Source organism: Homo sapiens, chromosome 1 (genome assembly GCF_000001405.40).
Source record: "Homo sapiens chromosome 1, GRCh38.p14 Primary Assembly".
Taxonomy (NCBI): Eukaryota; Metazoa; Chordata; class Mammalia; order Primates; family Hominidae; genus Homo; species Homo sapiens.
In genome coordinates this window covers 189,811,317-189,822,829 of record NC_000001.11, presented here as the reverse complement: position 1 = coordinate 189,822,829, position 11,513 = coordinate 189,811,317, and the positions used below count along the sequence as shown (strand labels likewise).

General features: G+C 32.1%; 1 long non-coding RNA gene across 1 annotated transcript in view; it reads right to left on the bottom strand.

Moving 5' to 3' along the window:
• Window positions 1–7,911: 7,911 nt before the first annotated feature.
• Window positions 7,912–11,513, bottom strand: part of LINC01701 (long intergenic non-protein coding RNA 1701) — a 39,450-nt gene continuing 35,848 nt past the window's right edge. The window contains exon 4 of the long non-coding RNA XR_001737811.1: window positions 7,912–7,998. This is a non-coding gene — a long non-coding RNA (long intergenic non-protein coding RNA 1701). The remainder of the gene's footprint in view (window positions 7,999–11,513) is intronic.

The following is an 11,513-nucleotide window of genomic DNA, read 5'->3' as shown; positions in this document are numbered from 1 at the left end:
CTCCTTATTTGAAGAAGCTTTATGGTAAAAATAAATGTATCATTATATCTACTTATCTTCTAATTTGATAATTTTGTTTGGAATCCATTTTGTTATAATTAGTTTTTAAGCTTTTATGATTCACTTATTTTTCATCTTTCATTTGCAGGAGTGTGTAGGTTTAATATTACTGCAAGTTACATAGAACTCTGGGAAGACAATATTTTACAAAACTTTAGTCACTTAAAAACATACAAATCTATGCAGAGACCATAAACAAAAAATGCTCTAAAATGATATGAGCTACACTTTTTTATATTAAGGATGTTTATATTTGACATTCACTTCAGAAAGAGGAGATAGGAAGGTTTAAACAGCCAGCATGCCGAAACTAGTTTTTCCTGAAATGGCTTTTACCATATTCACATCTGGTTCATCTAATTAGGTTTGCAATTGTTATACCTTCAATATTCACATTTTATAGGCGTGCACTTATCAACATAGTCAGAACAGGATATCTTTTATTTTTTTAAGTGATAACAATATATAACCCTTAGTATTTTTGTTGTTGTTGTTGTTCTATTTGCTTTATTTTGTGTTTTACATTTTTCTAAACACTAACATTTTTCTTCATATTTATTTGGATGTAGAATCTCTAGCTAGAGTTTCTTGCTTCTGGTTTGTAATTCTAATTTCAATGTTCATATACCCTGTGAGTGTGATTTGTCTCAGCATGGAATATCATGCTTGTTTCAAAGAAGACTCCCTTCATATTTCTTGCAAGACTCGCAGTGTTTCCAAGAATCTGCTCAGCAGGGAATAGCACTTTATAAAGGCCCTATGTTTTGCTGCTTCATTTGACAATTTCTGTGTTTACACAATGAGTGGCATGCAGATGGAGAATATAAATATTCCATGAACTTGGGTTGAGTTTTCTATTCTTTTCTTGTTTTATAAGTAAAAACTCAAATGACATTCAAATGCCTCTAAAATATTAGTTAACAGAGATGTGTTTATCTCCAGTTGATGCAGGCACAAAATTGTTTAAACATAAAACAAATGAGAAAATTCCAGTGAAGATATCATAGCATAAAAGCATCCATTGGTGATAATTTATAATATGTTTTAATATAAACTCGACTAATGTTTCAAAATAAAAAAAGTTAAGGTACACAAGAGTCAGTGAGAATGCCAAAAGAAATGATTTAAAGAGTCATAAACAGACATTATTTTATAAAGACAGATGTTACAGTTTTATAAATACTGTCATGATTGGTGTCATAATCAAGGACTCTAGAATCCTAATATGGTGCAGTTCCACTACTTCTGGGCTAATTACTTGAGTAAGATACTTGAAACCTTTATTCTTCACAATGCCTCATTCTAAACAGATCTTTTGGAGACATATATGTGTGTATATGAGCCCAGTCTTTTCACCAGCCTAATGATTATAATTGTTTTAAAGATTTCATCAGTTTTTGGCTAGAATTAAATTAGATGACACAAACATAAGTGCACTGAAGTGAATAAATATAATTAGGTGGATGGATAGACGATAGATAGATATAGCATTATTGCTGTTGTTATTACTATGGCCTTCTAAAGGTTTATTCTTCAAAGTTTTCAAGTTACTGGTGCTTGGAATAAGTAAAAAATGACTACTCAAATCTTTCAACCAAACACAGTGTAAGTAGTGTACATCTAGCAGATTACCCAAAGTCTTCCTGTCTCCCTTTTTGAAGGAGACCTGTCCTTTCTCTTAATCTGTAATACATAAGACTTACTGGCAACACCTCAGGGCACAGTTCAATAGCTGAGGTAGGGGCACTTGCTTAATCAAAAACCCTTTTCCTGGAACTGAAATTTATAAAGTAAATGAGGGAGAGAAAGAGAGAGATGGGATTCTGTTTCCCAGAGGTATTTAGATGCCATGCTTCTCACCATGTGGGCCTATTAGTTCAAAAGAAGCCGATTAGCAGAGACAGATAATGAAACAACAGAAGAGGTGGACAAAGAAATTCAAGGAGCCCTGTATCTGTGTATTTGTTCCCAGAACCTATTCACTCACAATGTCCCACCTCAGTTCCCTTGTCTTCCTTGACACACTATTGAATCTTTGATTATAAGTTGCATTCTGTTTTTAAGGTAGGTAAAATGAATTTTTCAACTTCTAACCAAGAATCCTAATGTAGAAAATTAATAGTCACAATTGGTTCCCTCTGTTTGTTAGGGCTCCAGCAATAACATACTACACACTGGGTGGCCTAAGTAACAGAAATTTCTTGCATTTTCTACACTAACCAGACTGCTACATCAAGGTCAAAGTCTTGACTGCTTGACTGGGAAAGAATATCAAAAAAATCTCTGGATGGGGTTGTCTGAAATCAGTACCCTTTACAATCTTGAAATTCTCGATCCTCCTGAGATCTATAGGTCTGCAAAAGAAGCCCCCCTTTTTTTTCCTGTTAAAAGCTACTTCCCCCTCTTGCTTATACAGGTTGCAGAAGCTTCTGCCATGCAATGCGTACAGGATCTATTTTCACCATCCTCCCCTGCCACCAGATCAATAATTAACATCAGGTAACAACATATAAATGGAATTTTGGAGTTATTAGAAAATAGCATTACAGAAGCAAGACAGAGTGACGTCCAACTGTAATATTTCTCAATCCTTACAAATAAAAGGTTTAAACGTGATAATACAAGGATTTATCATCAGGACTGATGGTAATGTCCTGAATAACAAGTAATGACCTCTTGCCCAGTTGTCAAACCTGAGTCAGTTATTAGAACTACATCGAAGGGAAGGTACGACCTTCTAACACCACAGGAATTATTTACAGTAAATATTTCAATGTTCATTCATCAGAGACTTATGGCTATTTACTATGGTACCTGTAATGTAAGAAAAGGTATACACCTAACCATTTTCAGAATATTTGGCACAGAATCTGAGATGTCATGGATATCCAGGCTCATATTACCATAGACCTTCTTTTATAGTGAAGACATGTAAGATCAAGTAATAAATGGAATCCTGCCTTATATCTGGCTTACAGGAAAGTCTGTTGGTCTACTCACACCATTTTTCTAGTTCCTAAATAGATGATTGGAATAGATACATTTGTTAGTTGATAGAAACCACACATTTCTTAGTTCCTTGGTCCATAGGGTAAGAGTTATCACAGCATTAAAAGCCAAGTGGAAACTTCTAAGACACTCTTCCTACCCCAATCTCCACACACATACATGTAGCCTGAAGAAAATTAGTAAATACAATACAATGTCACCTCCCTGGTAGAAGAGCATAGATGAATACCTCCTTTAAAAACCTGAATCAGGAGTAGTTGCACTTATCTCATCCAAATTTATTTAATAGTCTTGTACCTGCAAAAACTAGGTATGAGGATTACAGTAGGTTAATTCAGATAATTAGCAGCCCAATTTTAGCTATAGTGTCAGAGACGAGAAGATTTACTCAGAGTTGATTAACACAGCCTCCAATATAATGCTCGTACCTTTGAACTGCCAAATGCACTTTTCCAATCCTAATAAAAAAAGAAGGACCGGAAATGATTTGCATGTGTATGATAAGAGCAAAAATATATGTTTTCTGCCTTACCCTAGGGCTATATGAACTCTCTTGACTGCTATAATAATATAGTCCTAAGGAATTTGAAACATCTGAACATTATATATAATATAATTGTTTGTATGCTGAATTATCAAGTATACTTATACTTGGAGTTCCAGAAGGATAACAGAAAGAGAGAAGAGCAAAAGGAATATTAGAATAATGTGGTCTAAGAATTTTACAAATTAATAATGGCACAAAGCACAGATCCATGAAGCCTAGAAAAGAAATATTCAGAAATAAAAGGCACTAAACTATTGATATGTACACTAACAGGGATTATATTTTATAAGAAAAAAAACTAGTGTTAAAAACCATTAAGCTATTCAAAATAACTTTTGTATATATGACTTTTGTGAATTACAAAAACCATAGTTTTTGAGATTAGATCAGTTAATTTTTGGATTAAGGATGAGGAAACAGGTTAACTACAAAGGAGCAGCACAAGATCATTTTTTAGGGTAATTAAACTGTTACGTATCATGATTGTGGTGGTAGATATATGACTCTATGCTTTTGTCAAAATTGGTAAAATTATACATCACAAATATGGAATTTTATTGTTTCCAATTTAAAAGAAAATAAATTTAAAATTATAGTGTCCATTGCTTTACATTCTATTTCTAGTTTCTAAAGTATATATATACACACTTTATATATATATAAAGTATATATATACACACACACACTTTATATATATATAAAGTATATATGTATATATACACACACTTTATATATATAAAGTATATATGTATATATATACACACACTATATATATAAAGTATATATGTATATATATACACATATATATAAAGTATATATGTATATATATATACACATATATATACAGTATATATATGTGTATATATGTATATATATACACATATATATAAAGTATATATATGTGTATATATACACATATATAAAGTATACATATATAAAGTATATATATGTATATATATATACACACATATATATACACACACACACACACACACACACACACACACACACACACATATATGGGAGTATTTCTTCTTTACTCAGTCCGTGTCTTTGATTCATTGAAAATTTATATTTTTAGTAATGAAGAGTTAATGATGAATTTATCCAAGAGGTGGGGAAATATAGAGACATTTAAAGTATCTTTAGAAATTTAGTGAAAATTTCGATAGTACCAAAAGGCTTTAGCATCCAGTTGCTAATTTTATGTACCCTTTTTTAAAAAACAATGTTTATAAAGTGACAGGAGCAAGGAAGAGTTGTCATGTTCATGGATATTCACCATTTTGAAATAGTTTTCTATGTTTCAGGACATTCCTATGTTATGTATTTCTTTTCCTCCATAAAGAAATAAAAATAATCCAGTTGTGGGCCATTCTTTCATCTAAGATACATGTGGATTTTCTAGGCTCTAATCTCATTAAACACATCTATGAAACAATAAGAACTGGAAGTTAAGTAGACAAAATTTGGACAAATCTTCCAGGTTTTTTCTGGCAGAGTAGTGGAAATGACAATGATACAAAATCCACAATAGTTACAAGGTTGATACTTTTTATAAAATTATGTTCTACAGTTTAATATTACTTTAAGAAATTAAAATTATAGATTATAAAATTAAAACATGAAAAAAATCAATCTTAGGGATGGTAAAATGTGTTAAGAAAAATTACCTCTTGGCTCAGCTCTTTTGCCATTTTAATGAACTCACTACATATTTACACTAAAGTAATATTTTTAATACACTGTTTCCCTATATAAGACTGCTGAAGTATCAGATAACAGAGTTTAGAGTCATATTGCTATTTAATAGATCATCAAGAAACCAAAAGCATTAAATTTAAATAATATATAGATTTTATTTACGTTATATATATTTAAGTTTAAAAAGCCAAAATATAATTTATTTATGGTAGTAATCTTTACCCCCTCTCTCTTTCTTTCTTTCCTTCTGTCTTTCACCTCTGTTTCTGACAGTTTATCTATATTTCACTGTCAGAGAAATAATGCCTGAAAATATCTCTAGAGATTAAATAAAATAATTATTCACTAGAACATTGTTTTGTTTCATTTTTCAATGACTGACCATGGAAATTTGAGATCATAGAGCAACCTGTTATGTATGGATGGCAAAGATAATAAAATAGAACATTTAGTAGGGTTCCCTAAAATCGTGAGGTATATTTACTTGAAGGTGGTATGTGTTTAAATACAAAAAATATTCTAACTTCATAAATAGAGAAATTGTTCTGCCACAGCTGAACAGATATATTTTTCTTCCACTTTTTAGGTAAAATTCTCATGGGGAATAAAGTAGAAGGGATTTGATTTCTAGGTCAGATTCTTCTGTTCAGTAGCTTTTGTGATTTACCCTAATGTGGTCTCCCCACTTAGTAGAGAATCTGGAGATGAGACAATACAGAAGGCAGCAAAGAAATTCAAAGCAACCTGGCTATCAGCAGGGAGTGTTTCTTTCTCTCTGGGAGCAGTCGGAATTACTTGAAATGCTACTGAGCAAATGCTGTGATGTACTCTAATTCCTGTCTTCTCCACCCACTACAGATCCCTCTTCTTTTTGGTTGAATAATTAACAACAACAAGAGTATCTTTTTTAAAAAAGTGAGTATTTTTTCAGTTTTAGAGGGTATATTTACCCAAGAAAGCTTCTTTTGGCCTAACATGGGTTTGAGGTGATGTGTTGTTAAAAAAGGGAGGTGTTGCCTCTTCCAGTTATTAAAATCCCTTGTTCAATCTTGATAGTCTAAGAATTTAGGTTTACAGAGTACTAATAGAAGCCCGGGTTTCTATCATAGACAACTAACTTAACCACACTAATCAAATCCAAGAATGGTGCTAAATATTACAAAACTTCCATACGTAACCATTCAATCTGAACTCTAACAGTAAGTATAAAAACATAAATATTTGATATTTTGAATTGTGTCATATATGCTGGAAATATTTACACAGAGATCCAGGATGTGCACCAAGTAAATCTGAGCAGCTTACATGTCCCATTTCTTCTCAATTCCTATAGGAGGTAAAAGAGAATGGGGTAGCTTGAATTGTTTTCTTACTACTTAGGTTAGACAAAGAAGATTCTCTTTAGTGACAAACTTCTTTCTTAATCTCTTTGAATTTGGTCTTTTGGAAGACTAGAGAAAATATACTATTAAAAATATTACTAACAACAAACTCATCAAAACAATCTTGAAAACACCAAGGGAATGCAGAAGCTCAAACTTACCCCCTTTGAAAAGGTGAGCATGTATGACATAGTTCTATCAATCTTTGTTTTATAAGAATATTGTCAACTTATTGATTTCAGTTATCTGATATGTATGTTCTCAAAAAAAGTATTAATATTACTTTCTAATATAGAAGGCACTGGAGTTCTTCACTGGTACAAATTAAACTTTAAAATAAAAGTCAATAAATACACAATAACAGGTTTGTACTTTCAAACTTTGAGACTTTAGTGTAATTGAAAACATGGTTATTGCTGATAAATACCTGCAAATATCCCAATTCAAAGACAACAAGTTATTTTGCTAAAAAATAGAGTTTGAAGGATCAATTTGCAGGAAATATTAAACAGAGGGATGTTTCTTTGATTTCCAAACAACTCATTTATGCTAGATGAGCTTCTTGCATCATTTAATGGCACAAGTGTACTTCTACATTGTTTGCAATAGCTATCTGATTTATCACTTCATTGAAATTTTATTAAAAGGTTCAGTTTGATGTATTTTATCTTTCTACACCCACATAAAAAGGCCTTAGAAGTTCAAATAATTCAGCACTGGGGAAAATAATAAGACAAAATTGCATTGGATTTGGAGTTCTTTCTAGAGATAAAAAAAAAAAATGACTAATAGCCAGTTAGCAAATGTCAACTGAAAATAAAATCCTAAAGCAGAAACTAACCAATAAATGTTTCTGCAGTTGTTTTGACAAGTGCATAAAAATGACAAGAAATACTGTAGAATCTATACAATGACAATGAAAATTATTTGGAACATTTGTGTCTACATATACATGCATGCATGCTTAAAATGTTGAAACATAACACAATTTTTGATATATACATCCTAGAATATGCTAACCCTCTAATTATTGAGGATTTTCAGGTTACATTAGCAGCAAAATCTACCACTTTAAAATATTGTCTCTTAGGCACTGTTAAAATATATCAGTATATTTTGTTGCAGTGGAAACAGAAAACCTCATTTAAGCATTTTTCTTCTATATCCAAGTGTGGATATTTATTTCTAGAGAAAAACTGAAGATCATGGTTCCTGCTTTTTTTTTTTTTTTAATATCCAGTTGTACAGAGAACATGGGTGATAATTTGGCATCTCAATGATGAGTCTATAAAGAGGCTGCAGAGAAAAACAAAATAAGAAAGCCATCACAATTTTGTCATTAAAGAAAAATATAATAACTTACATATTATTTCAATAAGATACAAGAATAAATTTTACAAGTTTTAGTTCATTGTAAGGATGATAATATAAGAATTAAGTTTCTTCATCAGACACAGGCCAGCAGCTGTGGGATGGGTGGTTAAATAAGAGCTTTGTCTTATAGATTACATGTCCAGGTTACCTTTCAGACTTTACTATGGCAAAAAACTGAAAGAAGACAGAAACATGTTTAAAGTTTATGGAAAATATCTGGAGAATTAAGATCTCCCCTTCGCTTTCTCTCTTTCTTTCTCTATTTCTCTTGCATGCTCTGTTTTCAATCATTATTATTATTATAATACTTTAAGTTCTGGGATACATGTGCAGAATGTGCAGCTTTGTTACATAGATATAAATGTGCCATAGTCACTTGCCGCACGCACCCATAAACCAATCATGTAGGCTTTTAGCCCTGCATGCATTAGGTATTTGTCCTAATGCTCTCCCTCCCCTTGCACTTCACCCCCTGACAGGCCCCGGTGTGTGATGTTCCCCTCCCTGCGTCCATGTGTTCTCATTGTTCAGAATAAAATATCTAGAAATACAACTTACAAGGGACGTAAAGGACGTCTTCAAGGAGAACTACAAACCACTGCTCACAGAAATAAGAGAGGACGCAAACAAATAGAAAAACATTCCATGCTCATGGATAGGAAGAATCAATATCATGAAAATGGCCATACTGGCCCAAGTAATTTATGGATTCACTGCTATTCCCATCAAACTACCACTGACTTTCCTCACAGAATTAGAATAAACTACTTTAAATTTCATATGGAAACAAAAAAGAGCCCATATAGTAAAGACAATCCTAAGCAAAAAGAACAAAGCTGGAGGCATCACACCACCTGACTTCAAACTATACTACAAGGCTACAGTAACCAAAACAGCATGATACTGGTATCAAAACAGGTATATAGCCCAATGGAACAGAACAGAGGCCTCAGAAATAACACCACACATCTACAACCATCTGATCTTTGACAAACCTGACAAAAATCAAGCAATGTAGAAAAGATTCCCTATTTAATAAATGGTGCTGCAAAAACTGGCTAGTCATAAGCAGAAAACTGAAACTGGACCCCTTCCTTACACCTTATACAAAAATTAACTCAAGATGGATTAAAGACTTAAATGTAAGACCTAAAACCATAAAAACCCTGGAAGAAAACCTAGGCAATATCATTCAGGACATAAGCATGGGTAAAGACTTCATGACTCAAGCACCAAAAGCAATGGCAACAAAAGCCAAAATTGACAAATGGGATCTAATTAAACTAAAGAGCTTCTGCATAGCAAAATAAACTACCATCATAGTGAACAGGTAACCTACAGAATAGAAGAAAATTTCTGCAATCTATCCATCTGGCAAAGGTCTAACATTCAGAATCTACAAGGAACTTAAACAAATTTACAATAAAAATCAAACAACCCCATCAAAAAGTGGGTGAAGGATATGAACAGACACTTCTTAAAAGATTTCTGCTTTTCAAGAGGTTACAGTTTCTTAAAGGTGATAAAGTCATGATCACTTATGATTATTTTTAATGCAAAGATGTTTATGCGGGTACTGAATTCAAAGGAAGCATATAACTCTCACAGAATGAGGAAGTGGGCTAGAGAGTAGGTAGCCAGAGAAAGGTCTTTAATTTTATGTTCTGATTAGGAATTTAATATGGAATCTCCATATAAACATTTAAACATTCCAGAAGTGTATAAAGAAAGAAATCTTATATAATCATATGAATCAGATATACAACAAAATATTTGTAATGGCTGCTTACTCTATCCATATCTATATGTTTACTTATCTATCTATAATTCCACCCACATTTCTTCATACTCCCTTATCTACTTTTCTATAAAAACATCAAGTAGGAATCACACTGTTTATATATTTACACACTGTGTTCACCTCACAATATTATTGTGAATATTTATTTATCATTTAATGTACCTGAAAGCATAATTTTAATGTCAGCGTGTTCAATCTTATTTATGCAGTTCATAAATTTTTCCATGTTGAATATTAAATTACATATCTATATTATGAATAAGTTTCTTGTAACAACCTTCTTGCCTATAACTCTAATTATCAATGAAAAATAAATTACCAGAAATAGAATTGTTCTTGAAATGCCTTGCCTAATCACACTATTGAAAATTTAAACGACTTTCTTCCTCTGTCTGCAGTATATGTATACACAAAAGAATATTTTTTTTAAAAAACATATGCAGTACTATACATCTCATTAACCATGGCCTTTTCACATTTATATGTCTGTTGTTTAGCAGAGTGCCTGGAACATAGTAAAAGTTTAACAAATGTTTGTTTTATTAGGTGGTTTCTTTAACTTAAACCTCTATTTTGGAGATGATATAGCTAAGTGGTATTTATTCTAATAATTTTATCGAAAATTCTTCCATTTAACAATATTCTTATAAATTGGTTATAAAAACTGACTAATTTTTATTTATCAATAAGTCATTCTGCCTTATTTCTTGAGGAATGTAAAACCTAATATTATGCTAACTCATAATTTGGATTGAGCTGATTTTGACAGCTGTCTAAAATGTTACAGTTCAATTTCATTGACTACATGACATTGAGATGTTCATGAGGATACATGTTTTTGAAGCTGCTCGAAAAAATATATACATGTCTATATTAGAGGTGTAAAATCTGGTTAAGTATGTGTGTATCTATATATACACACTTAGAAATATACATGTAATGCATTTTTTTCAGGACATTTCACATTTTAAAGATCTGACTTACTGTCTTCTCATAAAATAATCAGATCTCTCTAATAGTGTGACAGGCCTCTTGCCTGAGGAAAAGTATTCAGAGCTGAGTTGTAGTTGCTCTTTATAGGAAATACCCTCTGTGTTCAGTATTATTCATTTTATTTACATAGTTGAACCATGTATACTTTAAAATTAGAGTTTCCTAAACTATATAATGTTAAAACAACTACTGTTGCAGTTTAAATTTATTTTCTTTTTAAAGCAAAATCAAGAAGATTGCTTTTTTTTTTTTTTTTTTTTTTTTTTATTCTTGCTCTGTCGCCAGGCTGGAGTGCAGTGGCACGATCTCGGCTCACTGTACCCTCTGCCTCCTAGGTTCAAGTGATTCTCTTGCCTCAGCCTCCTGAGTAACTGGGACTACAGGTGTGCGCCACCATGCTCAGCTAATTTTTGTATTTTTAGGAGAGACGGGGTTTCACCATTTGGCCAAAATGTTTTCCATCTCTTGACCTTGTGATCTGCCCCGCTCAGCCTCCCAAAGTGCTGGGATTACATGCGTGAGCCACCGGCCTCTTGATTGGTTCTTTTATTGTCTCTGAGTCACAAAGATTTGCCTTCTAAATTAAAAAAAAAAACTTTTGACTTGATGCTTTAATGTGCATTCTCTGTAGTTTATATTCCTA